This window comes from Homo sapiens, chromosome 16, assembly GCF_000001405.40.
Source record: "Homo sapiens chromosome 16, GRCh38.p14 Primary Assembly".
NCBI classification, from domain to species: domain Eukaryota; kingdom Metazoa; phylum Chordata; class Mammalia; order Primates; family Hominidae; genus Homo; species Homo sapiens.
Window position 1 is genome coordinate 79,913,407 of NC_000016.10, and position 25,053 is coordinate 79,938,459.

The following is a 25,053-nucleotide window of genomic DNA, read 5'->3' on the forward strand; positions in this document are numbered from 1 at the left end:
GGCACAGTGGCTCACGCCTGTAATCTCAGCACTTTGGGAGGCCGAGGCGGGCAGATCAAGAGGTCGGGAGATCGAGACCATCATGGCTAACACGGTGAAACTCCGTCTCTACTAAAAATACAAAAAAATTAGCCGGACGTGGTGGCGAACGCCTGTAGTCCCAGCTACTCAGGAGGCTGAGGCAGGAGAATGGCATGAACCCAGGAGGTGGAGCTTGCAGCGAGCCGAGATCGCGCCACTGCACTCCTGCCTGGGCGACAGAGCGAGACTCCGTCTCAAAAAAAAAAAAAATTGTGGCTTAATTTGTAGCGCCTGTCTACACATTGTCACTGTTCTTGTTACTTTAATATCATTTTTACCTCACTTCTACCTCCTTTTACTTATAAGCTCAAATTTGTCTTTGATACAGCTACTGGAGTGTAAGAAAAGAAGCCCACAAACACACACCACACACACACATACACACACACAGACACACACACACACACACACACACACAGGCACACAGAGGCCAACCTTTAGTACACCTGTTATTCATAGCAGAAACCTGTTACCTTAACTGTGCGTTGTATATTTTAGGTGCTTGATAAATGTTTGTTATAAATAAAGTAACCCATTAAACTTACTTCTACTATGTCATCCTTCTGTTTCCCCATTTTTCTGGCCCCCACCAAGCCATGGTATTGAGAACTGATGTATTTCCTGCTCGTACGTGCGGCCTGGGAACTGGAGTAGAGGATAAGTACGTTGTATCTTTGCTAAGGGTATGGGGGGTCCAAGGACAGTCCAAAATCAAAGGACATAGTTATGGCACTGCTCTGTGACCTCAGGCAAGTCATTTTCCCACTGTGGACTTGTTTCTGAATCTAAAAAATGAAGGGCTAGATTAAATAACCTCTTTGTAACTTCTTTTTTGTTTTGCTGTTAGTAACTTGACATGATGGGATATCAGGGGCACTCGTTATTTTTGGGGGTTGGGGGCGGGGTGGTCGGCCTGACAGACCTGTGTCTAAAACCTTCTGTTGCAGTTACCGGCTGTATAAATGGGAATAAGTTTCCTAATTTATCTGAGTCTCATTTACCGTCATCTGTAGAACAGGAATAATCAGACCATCTTAAAATGATTGTTGCAAGAATGAAATGAGATGCTGGACATCAGGAATATAGCACGGGGTCTGGTACAAGGAAAGCATTCAATAAATGGCGACCATCATTATGTGTGTCTCTGCTTCTTTCTTGGCCAGATTCCTCTGTATTGAAGGTAACAGTCATAGTTCTTTCCTTCAATCGTCTCCTGAACTACTTAAGAGCAACCTCTAGGAGGGACAATGCTGATGAAGCCAATAATATGAATTCGGTGTTTTGGGGAATGTGCAATTAGGTCACTTACAGCACGCTGGCCCTTCTCCACATGCCGCAGAGATACGGCATTTGATACCAGCATGAAGATCGGTTCCTTCCTCTCTCAAAGCTAGCTTTATTGATCCCCTCATTCTAATGGGGGCAGGGGAAGAAGGAGAAATGAGGAAATGTTAGCAAAGACAGAGGTTAGGTCCGCTTGATTTTGCCTTCACCCACAGAAGCCGTAGCTGCAGGAAGACTGGGAAAGAGTCCAGGATTAATTTGAGCCCGGCTTGCCTTCCCACTCTTTTCCAATCAATTCCCAGAAGGTAGCCATTTTTAATTCTCCATTTATCTTACTTGACCAGGGTCAAGTCTGTTTTCAGGGCAAAGATTAGAGAAGTGGCAGATAACTGGCTGATATCTCTGGTAATAAATGAATATGAGCTTTAAGCCTGGTGTAATTAAAAATGTATAAACTCACAGTTTATTCCCCCTTAAAAGTTTACAATCTTCTGTTGAAATGCTTCTTGAACCACCATTCAACTTGTTTTTTAGTCATCTTTGCTGATAAGAAAAGGGAAGGAAATTGAAGACTCAACAGAAGACACTCCCATCTGTGCAAAATCAAACCCATATCAACAAGGGAGGCATGTGAACCTTTATCTTGGCATCTGCTGGGCCACTAGGAGAAGGATGTCACTGGTTAACTTCATATTTACCTTTGCATTATTAAGCTGTGAGCCAGGGTCCTTCTAATACACACAAATATCCCAAGCCTCATCCAGAAAGTAGGCAAAATCTGCAAAACAAACCCAGGCCAACTTCAAATTGCGGAGTCATCAACGCATGAGCCAGGCTGCCATCAGCAACATAGAACCAGTGTTTACTCAGTTCCAGAGGAATTTTATTTCAGCTTGGGAGCTTCAGTCCATTTGCCTTACAAATGCCACCATTATGTGCTATTTGAGGTTTGAATGATGCCACACAAGGAGACACTCCATGTGTACCTGCCTCTTCTACAAACTGAAGAACTGTCAGAATTCCAGCAGAGGGAATCAGTTTTGGTAGATGGGGTAAAGTGAGGAAAGGAAAGAAAACTAACCAAGCCCCAGGCACTATGTTAGCTACTCCAAGTGCATTATTTTACTCAATCCTGACAGCAGTTCTGTGAACAAGACTATTCTCCCATTTTACAGATGTGGAAACTGAGGCTTCTACAAGTGACTTGCCCCAGGTCTTGCTCAGAAGGGGAGGAGGCTGCTTCTGCCTCCACTCAGCCTCCAACCCCCATTACCTTGTATCAGTCACCCAGGTGGTAGTGGGCTGCAGATGCTGTGGGTTTTGTTTCTGAGTAGTCTGTGAACAACTCTCCAAGCAAGCATGAACTTTTAAGGGAAATCCTTCTCCCTGAATAGTATTTTTTTTTTTTTAGACAGCATCTCACTCTGTCTCCAGGCTGGAGTGCAGTGGTGCAATCTCGGCTCACTGCAACCTCCACGTCCCAGGTTCAGGTGATTCTCCTGCCTCAGCCTCCCAAGTAGCTAGGACTACAGGCATGCGCTACCATGCCCAGCTAATTTTTGTATTTTTAGTAGAGACGGGGTTTCACCATGTTAGCCAGGATTGTCTCCATCTCTTGACCTTGTGATCCACCCGCCTCAGCCTCCCAAAGTGCTGGGATTACAGGCGTGAACCACCGCGCCCAGCCAATAGTTTCTAAAGGAGATGACCATGTTGGTCAACGGGTCTGGCCCAAAAAGAAAACTCTGTGCCTTCCCTTTCCAAGAAGTCATATTAGAAAGAGTGAAAAAAGGAGCTCCTTCCTGATGGTAAAAAAGTGAACGGCACCGAAGTGGTTACCAACCATTTTGTTCAACCAGACTATTTACAAGTAGTAACAGGGTATCTGTTTCCTGTCATCTCCATCATATATCTTAAAGCAGAGAGATTGGAAGCCCATTACAGTCTGATATCTAATCAATACACACCGTATTCCTACAGCAGGAAGTAAAAGAATAGGCCCTTGGGAACCAGAGTTCAAATTACTCCACTGTCGATTCCAGATAGCAGCTAATGATAGGCTAAGCTTGGTGTGGGGGCGGTGGGATGCGGACAGGGTGGGATGAAGGGGAAGAAGAGACCATAGTTTAATGGGATAGTTAATTTGAAAATCAAATATGCATTCACTTTTGCCTCATTTGAAAGCTACATGTTGTCTCTTAGCAGGCAATACTTCTGACTTCAAATGCTTTTCTCTCTGCAGTGCCAAAATATGTTTTAGACACACACACGTATCACACATTATGTTTCGGTATTAAATTATATATCCGGATATACTTCCATATAATACATAAAGAAGCCTAAAGGAACATAAATATGCCATTTGATTATTCAATGAGTATTGACTGAGTGCCCGTGTACCTATGCGACCACCTGGATGTGGTCATAGGCATAGTGACCAGTGACATAGCAGCCAGTGACCACATCAAGCTTTGAGCAAGTCTCGACCACATGGAACTTATATTCCAAGACGGTATTGTGTGATCAATGTGTAACTGAGGTAGTAGGACCAAAGAGGCAGGAGAGAGAGTTGCCTTTTAGTGAAAATGGAAGTACTGAAATCACCACATTCTGAGTTTATTTCCTGCCTCTCCCATCTACTAGCTTTGAGACCCGTAGAAAGTTACATGACCTGTCTGAGTTTCAAATCCTCCACTTGTAAAATGCGAATAATACTACTCACCTCTTGGGTTATTGTAAGGATAAAATAAAGTAAAAAACAAAAAAGGTGAATTTTTTGATGTAGCCTACAGTCATTCATCAAAACATGCCTGTTGTCTTCTGTTTTCAGGCAGATACTGGGCATCCCTAGTGAGCATCTGTGCCACAGGCTGGAATGCAGTGGCACGATCTCAGCTCACTGTAACCTCCGCCTCCCAGGTTCAGGGGATTTTCCTGCCTTAGCCTCCCGAGTAGCTGGGATTACAGGCACATGCCACCACATCCGGATAATTTTTGTATTTTTAGTAGAGATGGGGTTTCACCGTGTTGGCCAGGCTGGTCTCGAACTCTTGACCTCAAATGATCCGACTGCCTCAGCATCCCAAAGTGCTGAGATTACAGGCATGAGCCACCGCACCTGGCCTGTGCCAGCCTTTGTCAGGTCCTGATGGGAATTCCGTTGTGAAGTCCCCGTGGCTCATTCACATCCCCAGCTTCTCTCCAGGCTTTGTGAGGCTGGGGCTCGGTCTCCCCACTCCACATTTCAGTTTTGCAGCTGGCTCTAGGTTGGGCTCTGCGGATAGATGGGGCTAGTGGCAGACTGCAGGATAATGTAGGGAGAAGGGATTTCGGCCTTCTCTTGGCTTCTGTTCCTCACAGCCTCACTTCACCTTGGCAGTAATACTTCCTCCTTGCAGCAGCTGTTGACTCCAGGCTCCAGCCTAGACCAATTCATACCTCTGTGGAAGTGCCAACACCAACAGGAAGACCCTTTTCTCAGACCTCTGGGTCTCAGCTCCAAGGGACCCTGCCATGAGCCACAAGTTGGGAGGCAACTCAGAGGTCTGAGCCTCGGCCCTACCAGGCCTCTCCACTGAGCTTCTGAATTCTGATATACCTTATATCACCCTAGAGCTGTCAGCTGCATCCTACAGCTATTACTGAGGTATGGCCTCAGTGTTCCCTTTTTTTGCCTTTTAAATCTTCCAGTAACTGTACAAACAAGTTCTTTTATTAAATTATTTAGCTAAAACACCTAATGTGTATTTGTATTTTCCTAACTGCATCATTGCTGAAACAAAGGGTGAGGGCCAAAGATTGTCACAACTCATCCAAGGAACTTCATCCTTTCTCTTATTCAGTCCTATAGCAGCTTGCTTCTTCCCAGAGGATTCAACAACAACAACACTCTCTCTCATTCTCTCTCTGTCTCTCTCTCTCTCTCACACACACACACACACACACACACACACACACCAGCAACATGCCTGTTTCTTGCCTCAGTCTTCTATCCAGAGGCTCTCTAACTCAGCCCCATCTAAAGGCCAGACTAGAAACCTCCTCCATCCAGGTCCCTTTGTGGCCCTTTCCACAAACCCAAACTCCCCTTTGCAGCCACGGACAAGATGAACTTTCTGTACTGAAATTGCTGGTCTGGGTCAGGAAACTTTCTTAGTAAAGTAAGCCTTAAAGAAATCCAGCTAATTCTAAATAGCTTAAGACTTTTGGTTTTACCTCTGCTGGTCCAAAATGCGTTATTACGTCAATACATGGAAGAAAAAGCTGTATTACACACAGCAGAGCCTGGTAGATAGCATCTATTAAAAGCTGAAACTTCAGCCAGCCCTATTAAAACTTCAAGGTAGTGGGTGTGGCATTTCTTTAGTTTTGTTTTGTTTTGTTTTGGTTTTGGTTTAATTTAGCAGAGGTAGGATTTGAGCCCAGGGCTGTCGTCTGCTATCAATGGTCAATGCACCCCCCATTATGTAATTATTCAGGACCACTTTGCAATCATCTGACCTTCCCAGGCCATTTGCAATGTCCTTAACTGCCTCTTTGTTTCCCTGTGTTTTGCATTTTTCTTAGAATGCCTCATTCTTCTCCTGCGCTTATCCACACTCACTTGTTCATTAAGAACCAAAGGTCTACTTTAAACTGGGATCATGCATGCTTTTGACTTTAAAGTCAATCATACACTGTCTTGTTTTAATCTGAAACCAGTCCAGGTGTAACTTATCTGTTCTCGCACTGTCTTGGAACTCAGTTTCATTAAGAAAGGGTCTATGCCTGGCATTCTTTTTTTGTTCTTAAACAGCTGAGCACAACAATTCTATTTGCTGAGTGTTTCTTTGATCTAGTTAATATAAAATATTATTTTAGAAGTTAGAATTAGAAAAAATAAAATTTGAAAAAAAAGCATCTGCAGATGAAAAAACTTTTGATTTATTCTGAGAGCTCCAAATCCCACTGTTTCTTTGTTGTGGCTACTGGTAAGCTCACAGATAAGTTTGGTCTTCAATCTCCGAAGCTTCCCTTAGTCTAGGTTTTCTGCTAAAATTACACTGCTTCCTTTCCATGCCCCTCCCACTATTCTCCTCTCAACCCATATATTTCCTAACCATTCCACTTTCTGTATCTTGAAATTTTACCTTCATTTTAATCATTTTATTATTTTATCATACCTTTGGTTTTTAAAAAATAAATGTATTTTTTACAAATGTATTTTCCAAACATATTCTGGAAAAAATAAAATATGAAAATGTATTTTTTATGAATGTATTTTCTAAATACGTTTCAGAAATAAATGAAGTATGACGGGAAACTGTACATGAAAAGATTGGGTACGTGAAAAGATGATCTCTATATTCATTAACTCATGTAAACATAATTCTTTTATAGGTAAGAGCTTTCTGCTTGGAATTTCTTCCTCCATGTAAATTATTCAATAGCATTAATGATTGCAAGTAAAGTTTATTTTTCCAATATAAAAACAATTTTTACATTTCCATTAAAACATATTGGAAAAACACCAAAAAAGAAAGAAAGAAACATAGGCTGCAAAGTTTTAACATCTAAAGACAACCACAAGTAGGACCTGCAGTAACTTTTCATACTTATCTTTCATACAGCTGGCACAATGACAATAAGTTGCGCATGCACATATACCCTGCCTTCACTACTAAATACATATTCCATATTTTTAGAAAATATGTGCAATTTATGATTTAAAATATTAGTTGTCAGAAAAGCACTGAAATAGATAATAACTACAGATTTCCATTTCTGACTTACACAAAATAACAGGGAACAGATGTATCCTCTCACCTTAAATAATTAGAAAAAAATTTAAAATTTTTAAAAACATATACATTGTTTTTCTAATCACTTTCTAATGATTTTTTTAATATCTATACATTTCTATAATTTTTCATACATATAGTCAATAGTTTTTAGACACTTATTAACCACAGGCCTTATACGGCTATGATTCCTGAAAGAAGGTAAGAAAGTAACGTGAATTCTATAATTTTAACAGATTACTGCCTGGGTTCAGTTACCAGGACTGAATACAGAGATGGAGAACCTGAACAGACTGAGCTCAGTCTTGCTGAGTTGCAGAGAACTAGAGGTCAAAGTTCAGAAAAGTCAAGGCAGTTAGAATTTGTGGGACAGAGTAAGATGGCAAGGGAGGTAGATGGATAAAGAGTTCAAGAAATCTGCAGGGGGTGCCCTTGAATCTTTGGCTGAGTATTAATTTGTACGTGAGTGAGAGGATGTGACCCAGGAGAGAAGAAGGCAGAAAAATTCCTGGAGCTCACACAGAACTGAAAATTGTTCATCTTTCTACCAGCAGTGGGAAAAGATCTTGTTAAAACACGAGGCATTAAGTAGAATCCTCAGAAGGGTATTGCCTTAGTATTAGGGCAAATTTAGCCCCAGACTAAATACTAATCTGAATAACAGAGTTTAAAAGTAAGCCTTAAAAGTATTCAACTAATTCTAAATAACTGAGAGCCGTAACAATGTATTACAATTGACAGCATATTACAATATTCTACACTTAATTAATCTACTACAAAATTTCCACACATACAAAGAAACAGGAAAATATGACCTGTAACCAGGAGGAAATCAATCAATTGAGGCAGACTTAGAAATAATTGCTACTATGAACTGTTATTATAAAACAATTACTATTAAAAGATTCCATATGTTCAAGAAGGTAAAGGAAAATATGAGTATGATGAATAGAGAAATTGAATGTTACATTAAAAACAGAACTTCCAGAAATGAAAATTACAATATCTTAAATGAAAGAAAATTAAGATTAACAGAATAGACACTAAAGAAGAAAAACTTAATGAACTTGCAGATATAGCAATAGGAAGTAAACAAATCAGAAAAGACATGGAAAAAAATAAACAGTGGAAAAGTAAGGTATAATAAAATATAAAGTAATCTAATATACAAATAACTGAAGTCCAGGAAAAAGATGAAGAAAACAGAAAAAAAAATAAAACAATATTTGAAAATTCTACAAACTTGATGAAAATCATAAACTCACACATACAATAAGTTCAGTGAACCTCAATCAAAATAACCCCAAAGAAAACCACACCAAGGTACATCAGTATCAAATGGCTGAAATCTAGAAATAGAAATAGAACCTTAAAAAATCCAAAGAAATATGACACATTATATACAGAAGAAAAAGATAAAAATTACATGAGTCTCTTTGTCAGAAATTTTAAAAAAAGATAAACATTTGGATTTTCACAAATTAATGGAGAGTATAAGAAATTTTAAATGTAAAAATAAGTATTTTCTCATTTTAAAAATAACTGACTATTCAAAGCAAAATAACAACTTTATTGTGGGATTTACACAAATAAGGTATATTACAAAAACAGCACAACAGGTGAGTGGGAAAAATAAGTTTTATAGTTGTAAGGGTGTTATACTATACATGAAGCAGTGTAATATTTGAAGGTAGGCTGTAGTTTTTATATATACTATGCATATACGGTATTACACAGTATATATATGCATATATATAGTATTTTATATACAGTATACACTATATATAGTATTTTATATATAGTCTTACACCCTACCCTTAAATATGATACCACTACATATCTATACATGTACGTAGTACTATACTTCATATGTATGTTTTTATGTATAAAGTATGTATACGCTGTAATACCATATATACATATAGTACAACAACTTCTTGAAAGGGAAATAAACAGGTAGAACAATATGCCATAATAGAGATAAAATAGAATGTTAAAATACTCAATTAGTTCAACAGGAGGCAAAAAAAGTAATGAAGAAAGAAAAGAAGGAATAAATAGAAAACAAATAGCCAGGTGATAGAGTAAAACTCAACCATATCAGTAATTACCATAGATGTAAATAGCCTAAACACTCCAGTTAAATGTCAAAGATTGTTGCACGGTATAAAAAAGCAAAACCCAATGTATTATTCAGAGTTCTGCAGAGAAACAGAACCAACAGAATGTATACACACACACCTGTGTGTGTATATATATATGCATGTGTGTGTATGTATATATGTGTGTGTATATATATGTATGTGTATATATATATATATGTGAGTATATACATACATGTATATATATATATAGAGAGAGAGACATTTGCTTTAAAGAATTGGCTCATGTGATTATGGAAGCTGGCAAGTCCAAGCAGATGGCAGGCTGGAAACACAAGAAGAAACGATGCTTCAATATTCAATCTAAAGGCAGTGTGGAGGCAGTTACTTCTTCAGTGGGGTACCTCAGTCTTTCCCCTTAAAGCCTTCAACTGATTGGATGACGCTTATCCACGATATAGAGGGTAATTTGCTTACTCAAAGTCTACTGATTTAAATATTAATCACATCTCAAAATACCTACACAGCAACATCTACCATGGCATTTGACCAAGCAACTGGAACCATAGTATAGCTTATCTGACATATAAAATAAGCCATCACACCTGATTATATGTTTCTAACACTGTAAACATGAAACACACATAGGTAAAAACAAAAGGATGGTATAAGATGTATTGACCAAACAGTAATTAAAAGAATGCTGGAGAGACTATATAAATTTCAGAAAAATTAGACTTCTGAACAGAGAATATGACTAGGAATAATAAAGCGGATTTTATATGGTGAAGGGGGGCAATTCATCAACAGGACATAGCAACTCTAAATGTATATGAACCTAATGGAGAGCTTCAAATTTCATAAAGCTAAATATGGTATCACTAAAATGAAGAATTGACAAGTCCACAATTATATTTGTAGACTTCGAGACTCCTGTCTCAGTAAATGATAGGATGAGTTGACAGAAAATCAGTAAGAATGGAGAACACAGAAACAACCCTATCAACCAACTTGACTTCCTTGACATTTGTAGAACACTCTACTCATCAACAGCATTATACACATTCTTCTTCAGCGCATATGAAATATTTGCCAAGTAAAATGATATTCGAGGCTATAAAACAAGATTTAATAAATTTAAGGCAATTTTAATCATGTGAAAGGTTTTATTTGGCTACAATAAAATTAATGAATAATAACAGCAGAATATATGGAAAATCTTTACATTTGAAAAATGAAACTGCAATTTATTAAGTAATTTATGAATCAAAGATGTAATAATAAGACAAAGTAGATAATATTTTGAAATGAACTAAAATAAAAACATAATGTATCAAAATTTGTGAGATGCAGCTTAAGCAGTACTTAGAGGGAAAATTATATCATTAATTGCTCACATTAGAAAAACGAAAGGTCTCAAATAAGTGACCTTACTTTCCCCTTTAATAACTTGGAAAAGCAAATTTTAAATAAGGACAGGAAGCAAGGAAATTATAAAGATAAGAGCAATCATCAATAAAGTAGAAAAACAAAAAACAATAAAGAAAATTAATGAAACAAGAGCAGGTTCTTGAAAAAAATCTATACAATTGGTAAATCTTTAGCCAGACTGAACATGCACACACACACACTCCACATGCATAGCTATGTGTGTGCTCATAAAAGAGAGAGCAAAGGGAAGGGGAGGTGGAAAGAGGAAGAGAAGACCCAAATTATTAATATAAAGTGCTAAAATAACCGATATTTCAAACATTAAAAGGGTAAGAGAATATTATGAACTTCATTTAAATAAATTTGATAACATTGATAAAATGGACACATCTGTTGAAAGACACAAACAACCAGTTTCTTCAAGAAGTAGATAACCAAGATAGTCCCATGACTAGTAAATATATTTATTTTGTAATCTAAAACACTAATAATGAAGTTTAAAAGAAAAATATTTAATACACTGAACTTCATCAAAGTTAAAAGTTTTCTGTTAACAAAAACTGCTAAGACTGGGAGAATATATTTGTAAAACAAATACCTGATAAAGGAATCATAACCAGAACATCAAAATAAGTATTCCAACTCAACAATAATAATAAAAAGAAACTCTTAAAAAACTGGGACACTTCTCCCAAAGAAGAGAGATACAAATGAGAAATATGTATGTGAAATAGACTCATATCATTAGTTATTAGAAAAACACAAATTAAAATCACAAAAAGATACAACTATGCAATTCACTAAAATGGCCAAAATGCTAAAAGTCAAGTAATACCAATGCTGGTGAGGATGTGGAACTATTGGAACATACATTCATATGAACTATTGGAACATACATTTTTTTTAATGGTGAAACCACAATTGCTTTTGCACCAACATAATACATTTAGTACATAACCCAGGAATCCCATTCCTAGGTATTTACCAGAGTTAAGTGAAAATTTATGTTCATGCAAAGACTAGTACTGCTTATAGAGTAGTAAATCAAGTAGATCTCATAGATGCTTTATTCAATATGGCCCATAACTACAAGCAACTCACACAATTGTCTACTGGTGAATAGATGGTGATAGATCCATACAATGGATTATTACTCAGCAATAAGAGGGAACACAGTATTGATAAATGCAATAGCGTAGTTGAACGTCCAAAGTATTATGTTAGTTGAAGGTAGTCAGACTCAAATATAGCATGCATTGGGAGGCCGAGGCAGGTAGATTACAAGGTCAGGAGTTTGAGACAAGCCTGGCCAGCATAGTGAAACCCCCTCTCTACTAAAAATACAAGAATTAGCCAGGCATGGTGGTGCACGCCTGTAGTCCCAGCTACACGGGAGGCTGAGGCAGGAGAATCCCTTGAATCCAGGAGGCGGAGGTTGCAGTGAGCCGAGATCGCACCACTGCACTGCACTCCACCCTGGGGGACAGAGTGAGGCTCTGCCTCAGAAAAAAAAAAAAAAAAAAAAAAACCAGACAGTAGAATCCATTTATATGAAATTCTAAATACAATAAAATTAATGTTATGGAAAGTAAATCAGTGTTTTTCCAGGACTGAGATGGGAGGAGGGAATAAACGCAAAAAGCATGAGGGAGAAAAAGAGGACACAGGGTAGTGGAAATGCCTTATTATGGAGATGGTTACACGGGGGAGTGGAAATGCCCATTGTGGAGATGGCTATATGACTGGATACATTTATGAAGACTCATGAATTACACTCTCAGAATTTATGAATTCTATTATAAATATGTATATATTCTATTATTACATATATGTATTTTACCTCAATAAAGATGATTCTAAAATTACAAGTTCTGTGTCAAAAACAAGTTGTATTTTTAGAATGATCTTCTTTATGTATTTATATGTTTTATATGTTTCTTCTTTATATAAAGAAAAAAATAAATCCCACTACTCAATAACATTCAATAATTACAGAAATAAACAATGTACATTTAGTGTTTCTCTCTCATGCCCAGTTACAATTATTTTTTAGCAAAAATAACATGTTGGCATACATAAAGTACATTTGTACATATACTAATTCACATGCACATAAAGTAACTTTAATTGTTTAATAGTTCATCAAGTTAATGGGCCAAATTTTATTTAACCATTTTTTAGTTATTGGAAATTTAATTTGTTTACGCTTTTTCTGTAACATAAACGATGCTGTGATAAATACCTTTGCACATAAGGGGTTTTTTCTCTCATATTTTAGAGCAGCAATTTTATGGTCTCTGTGGGGGCTTTGAATAAAATAAACTCTTTCTGTTCTAGGAAAATATGGTTCAAGATACTTGGTTGCCTGGAGCCACTGAATTAATCAGTAAATGATCATGGACAAAATAGAGATTTCCTTCGCAGCCCTGGGCTCCTATAACTGATATAAAAATGATGAGAGTGAACATTAAGGAAATGCTTCTATGTATTAGGAATGTTAATATAAAGATGTGATTAGAAGGCACAGAGAAGTTAAGTGAGTTGTGCCAGGAAACACAGCTAGTAAGTGACAGAGCTGGGATCGGGGACCATTCCGGCTTCCACTAAACTGCCTCTTGATGTTAGCTAATACATTTTTGTAAGCAATTCCACTAAGATAATGTCCACATGGAGGCGTTTTTAGAGCAAAATTAATCTCTTACCAACATTTTCCTTCTTGTATTTTCTTTCTCTTATTGGGCACTAGGAAGCTCTTCCATTTTACTCAGAAGACTTTGTGGCAATGGGCTAAAAAATAACGAGAGCTTAAATAATCAAAAGAAGAATGTGTTGCAGTCAAAATCCTAAGAAAAAGTGATCTAGCGCCAGGGCCTAATAAATCCCTCCTGCGATGGGCTTCAAAAACTGGCCGCGATGGAGTGCTGACATAAATCCTCTGTGGATGTACAGCTGACATTTCCCTGCATCGTGACACATCAGGAGGACAAATGGTGTAAATCCTCCTGTTGGAATTGGTGCATTGTCTGTGTGCACAGCTTACTTTTCTGAGTCCCATCCTATTATATACAAAACTTGTTTCAGACACCTGTTCCCCAGACAGAACTTCGAACTGCCTGCAATGTCTTGAATTAGCAGAGATGATTTCAAGGAACTCACATCTTCATAAGCTTCTGCTGCTACCCTCGTCCTGTTTTTCTCCATAATCTCATCCACTCTCATGGTTTTGCATACTTACTTTCTCTCTTTCCAGCAAAATATCCAGCCAAAGTCCGTCTTGGATGTTCAGACCTATACATCTCTGTCTTCCCCCATCTCCTGTTAGAAGTTTATAATCATCATACATTTTACATAAGCCAAAGAATGCTCATAATTTTTACATTCTAACTCTAGCCTGCTTCTCTCCTATCTTCTCCCATTTCCTTGAGTGGTATCACTACCACTAATGTTACTCAGGTCAAAAACAAACAAACAAAAATGTTAATTGGACCTGTTATTTCCTTTTCCTCACGTGCAGTCAAACGTGAGCTGCATTGATCAAATCCCCAACTTCTGTCTCAATCTGACTGCCCATTTCTGTCTCTACTGCCCCTGCCCTTGTCTTAGTCACCCTCCCCTCTTGCCTACACCTCTGCAGTAGCCATTTGATGGATGTGCCACATCCCTTTTCATGTCTCCTACAAATCCATTCTCTTCTGGTCATTTTGAAACACAAATCTGACCATGTCACTCCATGGCTTAAACCCATTGATGGATTCTCATTGTTCAGAGGATAAAGTGAAAATGCACAGCACAGCCCGCACCTGCTTAATTGGTCTGGCTTCTGACTTCCTCTGCATCCTCACCTCACTCTCTTCTACTCAGCCCCACTGTCCTCTTTCTCCTCCTTTGAATGCACCAAGTTCGTCCCTTCAAGCTAACACTCTTTCCTTGCCTCTTCACCTAGTCAATCCATTTTCATCCCATAGTTCTCAGTGTAAATGCCACTTCTTCAGAGGAGTGTTCTCTTATCACTTGCTTTCCTGCCATCAAGTGGCCCATTGCATGTCCTTGTATGAGGTTGATGCAAAAGTAAGATTTTTGCAATTATGTTTTTAATTGCAAAAACCACAATTAATTTTGCATCAACCTAATACGTGATTGCCTTCATCATAATGGCATTTACATAGTCATTTTCATACCTCTTACCGATCACCTGACTCTACCCATAGAGTGTAAGGTTCATGAGGGCAGGGTCTGCATCTTCCTTTTTTATCACTGAATCTCCAGAGCCCAACACAGAGCCTGGCAACACAGAATGTTGTTCTCTAAATACACATGGAACCAACGAAATCAGAAAAGCCTTGCCCTGCACAGAATATGAAAGGGTCCTAAGACTCATGACTGTTTCCACATTTGCTTGAAAGCCAGCATGGCCTCGCTTCCTGGAATTGGTGCCAGGAGAGGTCACCTCCCTAAAAGACGCACTCTGCCTCCTCCTGATGGCTGTTCCCCGTGGCCAGCAGAATGTCAACTCTCCCACTCCCTGAGACTTTTCTGGGCAGAAGCATTTAGGCTCAATCCTTGCAGAAAAACTTAGTCCAGAAAGAAAAAATAAAGAGAAACCAGAATGAGAAAGCTGCCTTTATTACAGCTAAACTGTTGGCTTAACTTCCTAAAATACCGTTGAATTTTCTTTCTGCATACAGCTGTGTTTATAGAAGGCAATATCATGTATGTAAATAAATTCAGATGCCGCTCGAGTTATTTTAAAACAATCAGTCTAACACTAATCAGCTTACTCAGAGACATAATCTTACCCTAAAAAAGTGACAAATCAGTACACAGTGTGCAGAGTAAAATCCATGGAGGGTAAGTCGAATATAAATGTATGAATGTTGCCAATGTCAGAATTTGAGGTTGGTCATCCCAGATGCTTCAGGAAAGCCGCCTCCAACTTCTGCTTCACCCTTCTCATCCCAGCATCCCAGAGGTATAATGTGGACAAGAGATATTATCCATAAATCTGTTCCCAATCCTCTAGGAAGGCCACATCCTTCCCCACTGCCATGCCTATACCGTTTCCTTTGCCTGGAATGTGTGGAACCTCCTAGCCATTCAGAAAGCAGCCTGTGTTTCAAGGCCCATCTCAACTTCTCTTCTTCTGTAAAGCACATTTTTCTGTCTCATGTGCTCATTGCATCTTATATCATTATGAAAAATAACTGATGTTATTTCCTAGAAGTTATTGATCATTGTGTGTCAGACATATCTGAATACTCTAAATGTGTATTCACTCAAAAAGGTTTTATTCTATGAACTCCTATTCTTATCACTCCATTTTACAGATTAAAAAACTGAGGCAATGAGTGACTAACAGCATACCCAAGCTCATATAGCTAGTAAATGGCTGAGTCAGGGCTCCAGTGCCTCCTCTGCCTATAGCTACTCTTAGGTTTGTCAATTGTCAGACATCAAGTTGTATGTATCACTGGATTATTTCCAATCATCTGAAGAGAAATGTGGCTGCTTTAGAGATGTGGACACTTAGACTCAGGGGAGCAATGTAATTTGCTATTCTTATTTCTCAAAAAATAAGGGTTGGGGCTGGATCTAAATCCACCTCTATTTTACACCAATGTCTGTTTTCTTTCAAGAAAAAATATGTCCAGGCACTGGTTCAATTTTCCTCTGGTTATTTATACAAATAACTTCGTCTTCAGGGCAACTGCCAACACATCATAGTTAAGCAACAAAGTTCTTTGTTTTTTAAAGGGTATCATGTATTATACAAAGATAATTCTCTGGTTCCTCTTGAGACGTTTATAGTCTAGCTGAGGACAAATTAATACTCATGAATTAGTAAGAAAACCTTAAGTACTAAGATTTCTGTGCTCAGTAACCCAACACAGACCTCAGAAGAGGGAGAAATGAGGGCTGCAGGAATCTGGGCAGGCCCCTGGTAAGAGGATCACCCTGCATTGGAATCCCATTCTCCTTGTACCAGCTGTGTGAGCTTGGCCAGGTTTCCACACTTCCCTGAGCCTTTGTTTCATGAATAAACGTCTTCTCTCTTGGTGTTCTGCAGAGGAGTAAATGAGGCAAGTGGCAATGTCTGGTATGGTACTGGGTAGGCACAAAATCGATGCCAATCCCTCCTTTCTTTCCCTTTGATTAAGCTTTTCACTACTGCCAAGGCTAATGAATAGACCAGGGCATTCATCAACACTCAGGTGTGTGTCCTGTGTGTATCCTTCAGAAAACTCACTGCTCCCCATGTGGTAGACTCCAGGATCATCTCCTAGAAGATCTAAAATCATTTAATTTTTGTAGGGCAAGCTTGTCTGCGTGTGTGTGTGTGTGTGTGTGTGTGTGTGTGTGCGTGTGGGTGTGTGTTAGTAATTTCATAACGTTAGAAATTTTTCAAAACTAACCGGCATGCAGTAATCACTACTCAATCCATCCTGGGAATCTTGACAGCATGGACTGAAGAAGAGACACACATGTAGCAAACCTATTCTTACTATCCTTATCTATATTATTATGGCTATTTTCATTATTGTTACTATTAGTTTATGATACTATTACCATTTATTTATTTATTTATTTAATTTATTTTTTTGAGACAGTGTCTCACCCTATTGCCTAGGCTGGCTTGCAGTGGCACGATCAGGGCCCACTGCAGCCTCAACCTCCCAAGCTCAAGTGATTCTCCCACCTCAGCCCCTAGAGTAGCTGCGACCACAGGTAGTGTCATCATGCCCAGCTGAGTTTTATATTTTTAGTAGAGGCAGGGTTTCGCCATCTTGCCCAGGCTGGTCTCCAATTCCTGGGCTCAAGCCATCATCCATCCACTTGGCCTTCCTGTATGCTAGGGCTACAGGCATGAGCCACTGAGCCTGGCCTACTATTACCATTTCTAAAACTTACTATTTTTATTTCCACCCCTATGAACACTACACCTACTACCATTGTCACTCTACTAATGCCCCTCTTCCTCCTTCTCTCTTCTTCTTTCTACTGCAACTGCCACCACTGCCACTCTATTAAAAATCCAGCTTATTTTTCTTGTGCTGTAATAACTGCCATCAATACCACCTGATTACAACTCCTCCTCCTCCTCTTACTACCTCTAATACTAATACTACAACTACCACCCCGACCCGACTCATCTTCCATCTCCTCCTACACCTACCCACATCATCTTGGAATAACTTCTCCCCCTACTACTGTCATTACTATACCTAACACCAGCATAGTATTACAGCTACTATGATTACCAGTATTACAACAACTACCACTACCACCATCCTATTTTAACTCCTACTGATCCTACTACTACAACTACCATCAACACCACCCTACCGCAATTCTTCCTCTTGATATTACTACTGCTAATATGGTAACTACCATCACCACCAGCCTGCAACTTCTCCTCCTTTTCTTCCCATGATGATGACCACCACTACCCTCCTAGTAATACTACTAGTAGTATCTATGACGTTTTTTTAATGCTTACTAAGAACCAATCGTTGTGCTATACACTTTGCATGTATTTTTCATTCAGCCATCATAACCATTTTGTGATATATATGTTTATATCATTTTCATCTGGTGGATGAGTCAATAACAGCTTACAGAGCTGAAATGAGAGTCCCAAGGCCCCACCTTGGAACTCACACTAGCGCTCTCTGATCTCCAGGCCTGTGCCCTTTCTAAACCTCCATGCTGCTTCCAGCCACCCTGGCTTGGACAATTGTGTTTCTGATTTTTCTCTTTTTCCAAATTCTTGTGCATGGAGATGGGAAGTCCACCCAGTAGGGAAGGACAATGACTGGACACAGGGCTCCAGAGTAAACAGGAAGCTCACACAAAGCATCCAGCTGGCTGGGCAGCTTGTCTACTGACCTTGGCCTCACTCATCTATCCTCCCCACATCCCCTTGAAAAAGTATGTCCACACCTGAGATAATCTGTGCACTGACATTCCCAGGTAGCTGTTTGCTGCCACCTGGATGACCACAGACTGGTTTGAAACTGACATGCAGATCAAAGACAGTGGATAACAAGGTGTCTTTTATTCACTCAGAATCTTTGTTGCCTGGGTCCTCTTTACCCTCCAACCTCACCCATGCAGCAACTGAACAAGCGCATTCTGTTTGTCTCTGGAAAATTTAAAAAAAAAAGGCCTTGCCTGCCCATCCTTAACTCTATAGCAATTATTCTTCATGTCACAAATATAAAGGGCAAAACCACTGGAGGATGCACACATTCATGCATTCAGTTAAATAATCATTTTTTTCAATGAAGATTTAGAAAGAATATAAATCATGCTGGAGCAGTAATGTTGAACAAGATGAAGCTTTCTTCATTCCTGAAGCTCACCTTGCTCTCATGGAGAATATAGAAACAATAGCTAGTCCTCAACCACTGAGACGTCTTACCATGTGGTCCTCCCTTTAAGTCGAGAAAGGTCTCTCTTCAGTGACTCGCTTTATGACATCATGACCAAGCACAGGCTAATAGTCAAAAAATGGGAGTTGGCATGATTTTCCACGCTTCCTTCTTCCCTTCTTTCTTTATTCCCCATCTCCTTTCCTTCCTTCTTCAATCTTAATTGAAGCTGATAACTGTTAGGATATTGACCCCGTGTACCCAAGTCCAGAAACTCCTACTCTGACTCATAGGTATGAGATGTTTATCTTTTCATTTAGAGGAGTCATTTAGATGCAGATTCACTGTGAGGGATTGTGTGTGTGTGTGTGTGTTTGTGTCATCTTTGGTCTTAAGGCTCAGTTCAAATCCTGGCTTTGTAATGTGAGGTCTGTGATGTAACCTGTTTGAGCCATAGCCTCTTACTCTGTAGGATGACAAAAATTGTTGCACCCAATTTGTAGGATTGTGAAGAGGGTTAGGTAATATAATTCCAGATAATGTGAGAAGCAGGGTCACCTCACTGAAGCCAATGAAGCTTAAGCTTTGAGGCCTTTCTCTTGCATAGGCTCTTTCCAAGACTCTGGAAACATTTAACGTTTGTAGTATTTAAAGCTTGATAAAATTTATAGTCTTCTCAGTCTCAATAAATATTTACTTTCATACCTAATTTTTGTGTTATTTTTCCTGAAAAGAGTCCTCAAAACATTTGATCTTCAGGCCCCATAAAACCTGTGCAATATTTAGCTCAAGACCTGGCATATGGACAGCAATTACTAAATGTTAGATGATAACAATTCATTTAATTTTTCTAGAACTTTTTAAGAATTTTTATATTAATTAACTAAAATCATGGAGACAAAAGAAAAGAATAAATGTCCTGATAATTATCAAGGTTATTATTATTGTTATTAGTGATGTTGTTTGAAAAATACGATTTTCACTTCTACAGGAAGTTAATAACTGGTGGGCTTTTCATTCGATATTCTGGTGCCTTGTGGCTAGAGTCATAGGATTTGTTTAAAGTCCCCAAAATAGAGAAAGACAATGAGTGCATTGGTAGTGAGAGAAAGAGAAGGATTTCTAATCATCGATGTCCTGCCCAGTTAGATATTTTTCCATAGATCCATCTATCTGGACGTTTCCATTAGTAATCCCTTTGAGGACCGTTACCAAGGGGCCCAGTCGCACCTCCCACCCACGCAGAGTGTATTCAGCTGTGTGTGTGTCTCTCCATTGTTTCTCACAATTGGAGTCTGAGAGGCCGTCATCTGCCCCACTCTCCTCTAGACTGTGGTCTCATTTTTCTACAGAGTTGAACTCTGGAGATAACATTGGTAAAAAATGTGAATAATTCAGGGCACATTAGAACGCTCTTTGTTTAAATTCACTCCCACCCCATTTCTCTGCAAGGAGCCTGGTGAGGGGGAAGGCGTGAACAAAGTGAAATGGCCAAGCTGCATATTTAAAATTCCATCAGTTCGATTTCTTTAATGCAATATGGTCATTTAAAATCTTGCCCTGTTTGATAAATACCTGCATTTCAAGTAATTGTTAAGATTGTGTCTGTTTTTATTAGAACTTGTTTGTCATTATTGGACAGTCGTTTCTAATCACATTTGTCATGTATTGAGTTTCCTTTATGAATACTGATAGCTCTTGGAATAGATGTTTATGAAGCCCCATTCATTCCTTGAGCACACACAGTATGCCTACCACCCAGGATACCATTTTTCTGGTCATTCAAAAATGAGAAAATGAATAGCAAAAATGAGTGGGAGGTTTATCTTTAGACACAGAAACTAGAATTATGGGGAAGTTTTTGGAATTTTGAGAACAGATTTCTGTGTAGTCAATTCCATCAACTGTGTACTTGGGGAGTTTAGATATTCAGACAGTTCGAACACAATGCATTGACAAGTTTAGATTCAAAGTTGTCCACTGTATCAGTTCAGCTTGAATTCCTAGAACTGTGGGAAGCTTAACAGAGCCAAGTTGTGTCTAAAGTCATTCGGTGAGTAGATATCCACGCACTTATTTGACAAATAGTTATTTACAGTATTCATTCACTCTGTGGCTGTTTATTTATTCAAGAGATGCTTATGCAGCCACTAATTTAATGAATAATTATGCTTTTTAATGGATATTTGTTAAATTTCTACTGTATCTAAAACACAGACGTGAAACTTCACAGCAGCTACATTATTGCCACCATGAGCCCACGAATCTCAGGAAAGTCCCTGGTCGCCATTTCACCTTCATAGAAAGGCCATGTGCTTCACCTACTTTATCCCATGTGGCCTCACAGCCTCTGTGAGGTGGAAGAATGTTCTGGACCATGATGAGTCTCTCTGTTAACGTTTTTTTTTTGTCTTTTACAGAGCAGGCATGGAGGGTCTTTTATTTCCAAAGCTTTATACACAATGCTCAAAATAAAAAAGACAAAGAAGACATGACTTCTATAAAAGCCTTATACCCCAGAGGCATGTCAGACACTCTGGGACTGAAACTTGAATTTTGGAGGGAAGTGGGGATTAAGATGAATGATGAATAAATGAATGAACGAATGAATGGATGAATGAATCAGGCTACATTTTGGAGCCAGACATCTGTGCCTGATCTAGAAAGTAAGTCAGACAGAGAAGACTTCTAAGAACAAGCAGAATCTCACCAGGCAGCTCAATCTGGCTGCAAACATTGGATTCCTCATGAATGCGGGACTTAATTATCAAAAGAAGCGAGGTGAGCATTTTCCAAATCTTCCTGCAAGTAGCATGGGCTTAGTTTTGACCCATGGTGGCCCTCACCTATCATCACTGTAGGTACTGCCTGGCTGGATATCAACCCCTAAGTCTGGTGGAGGAAGATCATGTGCACCCAACACTGGGTTGTCTGCAACGAGGAGAGATGCTGGGTTGAGGCGTGCATTCACAAACATCAATTATAAGACTCAGACCCCTCCAAACACTTTCCCTCTTGCAAAAAGCTTATAATTAGGGAACTATAATCATGAGGTCAGCACCTCTCAAAGGAGCACCTTTGCAAACTTCACATGCCCAGCAATATCTCTTAACCTGTTTGGACAAGGGATCAAGGTGCAATCTGCTCTAACTTGCTTCCTTTAAAGTGGGCAATGTTAAAACCAGGTAATATGTCTAAATGCCCATGACTTAATTTCTCATGCTCTGCAAGCAAGAGTGAACCACAGGGGAAAGTATGGAGGAGTTGAAGTCAAAGAGCGAAAGCCAGATTTCCAATCTTTGTTCTGCCATGGATAATGGTATAAGCCTGAGCAAGGTCTCTGATGCTCAGTTTCCTCATCTGTAAAGTGGGGAGAAAGTCAAATCTACATGCCAGAGTTATTAGGAAGTTAGTACATTCCTCGTAATTTTCCTGGAGTGGCAACTGGCACATAGCAGAAACTCTACAAGTGATGATTATTATCATTTATAAAACACGATATCATTTCTCAAAAAAAGGACACACATTCCAAAAGCCACATTATTGCAAAATTACATGACACCCACTATTATCCAGTCCTTGATAAACCTCTTTATTTGTTCTAAGGTTTCTTACACTCAAGTGAAAAAAGGCCTTAGATGCTTCACTTGGGAAAGAAGCTTTTTATTAAGATAATACGGCATTTCAAAAGAACACAAAATCATTTTCCAGTTTGATTTCGAGCCTAACATCAGTTAATTTCTCTTTGTTCTTCCTTTCTGGCTGTGCTCATGTCCCCCTTTGTGTGTGTACATTTATCCAATGCAATCTAAGAAACAATCACCTTAATTGATCTAGCGTTAACCTCTAACAGCTTAAGACATAGGCTTTTTATCTATCGCTCAATCCTTGCTGCAGATGTAATTCCCTATAGTGCTTACATCTTTGTCACCCTCACCAAGGGGGTCCTTCTCCAGAAAGCATTTCAGTAAATAAATACTGCTGCAAACAAAACAGACCACTCAACCAAGAGGCCCCACTGTTGCAGAAAAGCCTGGTTATGGTCTCATGCTTTACCTGGTGGTGTGCATAATGATGAATTTCATACAGGTGTCACCATTTTCAAGACCCCGGCAAGGATTGATGGCTTACAGTAGGCTGATCCATCATGCAAGGCAGCTGGCACCCTATCGGAATTTCAGGAATCTGTTCCCAATCACATTCACTGTTGGGTGACTCAGTAACGACCCTATTTGCGGTGCGTTACTGAAAATCAATGTGCCACATTCAAGGTCAATGTACTGTTGGAAAACTCTTTAAGCTCTGATGGATGGATTGTGCTCATTCAGAATAAATGTGAGAAGAAAGTGACAGCTGAGCATCCCACAGCCGCGCCAACTTTCAAAGGCAGGTTTCCTACTTTAGTGGGCAGTGGGATTCGCAGAGGGATAACATCACAAACACCTTCTTGTTCTCTGTTTGGGGGAATGTGTCTGCATATGATAGTGTATCTTTCCATACACAGTTAAAACATTAACGTGCAGAATCTCTGTGGAGACATTTACCAGCCCAATGCTTTAACAATCATTGCAAATCCGTTTGGAATCTAAGTGTTTGATAGGAACAAAATCAAGGCAAAGCATTAAGTAGACTATTTAAAATGTGTGTCTTTGGAGAAATAATTTGGAAAATAGCCAAAGATAAGACACTCGTTTAGTTCAGTTTATTTCGCAAACACAACATCTCCAAAATGTACCATGCATTGAACCCAAGGTCAATGATGCAAAGATAAAAGATTTGGAAACTTTAACTTTCACTCCAGAAGTTTAAAGGCAAAGACAAGAGATAGATACACAACCAAATTATTAAGTGCAGTGAGATATATACCTGTGCACAGACATATAGACAAAGGTTAGTGTATAATGATATAAATATAAGGTAAGAGCACGAGAAGGTGTTATCCGTTCTCCCTGGGGTCATTTACCTACTGGAATGGTTGTGATTAACACCTAGAAAAGTGGAAAAGAAAGCAAGTTGAGGTTTGCTTATTGATTTCTGGTTTTCAGTATATTTAAATATTTTTTAAAAAGAGATCCTCGAAGTGGTGAAGTAACCTTTTAAGTAAGAGACATTAGGATATAAAATAGATGACATTTTATCACTGTAACAATTTCCTTCCAGTGACCTGTTTATCAACCAAGCAGAGATAATGCTTGACCAAGCTTCTCCATGTTCTCAGTGTATTCCAGTGAAAAGTCAGGAACATTTACTGAGGAAAATTATAAAATGTGTGTTTTATCTCCTTGGATAGAGAATAAATTTTACTAAAGTTCTTCTTTTCTCCTTCTCCTTCTCTTTCTCCTCCTCCTTCTCATCCCCCTCCTCTTCCCCCTCTCCTTCTCCTCCTCCTCCTCCTCCTTCTCCTCCTCCTCCTTCTCCTCCTCCTCCTTCTCCTCCTCCTCCTTCTTCTTTCTCTTCTTCTTCTTCTTCTTCTTCTTCTTCTTCTTCTTCTTCTTCTTCTTCTTCTTCTTCTTCTTCTTCTTCTTCTTCTCCTTCCTGTCTCTATCATCTATCTATCTATCTCTCTCTCTCTCTTTAATTTTTAGCTTCCAAAAGGAAAATATAATGTATTGCCTATGGATTACATAAAAGAAAAATGTGGTAGCTGATAAATAATACAATTGATTTGAGGACTATTTAGAAATGGTTAATTTAAACAAAGTGATGATCCTAAAGACATCAAGAGAAAATGCAATGGTAGACATTTCCTGGTTCTCAATAATCAGGTTGGATCAACTTAATAATATGTTTGCATGTTTTTCTTCTCTTTATAGGCAACGACTGAGTCACCTGTAACGTCTAGCACCTCGAATGATACCTAGCATGTAATCATTGCTGAATAAAGAGCTGTGGATGAATGAATAAGTGAGTGAATGAGTGCATGAATTAGATGCGTGGATAAGCCATAAGGGAGGCAACTGTATTTTTTTGTTGTGTGGAAAATGCCTTTAGCATTCATTTGCTTAG

At 38.9% G+C, this 25,053-nt stretch overlaps 2 annotated features.

Moving 5' to 3' along the window:
• Positions 1,786 to 2,080: a silencer, noted in NCBI's record as "tiled region #4834; K562 Repressive DNase matched - State 7:EnhWF". NCBI's record gives its function as "represses a minimal TATA promoter and a strong SV40 promoter by Sharpr-MPRA in K562 cells {active_cell/tissue: K562}" and the evidence as "EXISTENCE:reporter gene assay evidence [ECO:0000049][PMID:27701403]".
• Positions 5,375 to 5,434: an enhancer, noted in NCBI's record as "active region_11165". NCBI's record gives its function as "activates an Ori minimal core promoter by ATAC-STARR-seq in GM12878 lymphoblastoid cells {active_cell/tissue: GM12878}" and the evidence as "EXISTENCE:reporter gene assay evidence [ECO:0000049][PMID:35858748]".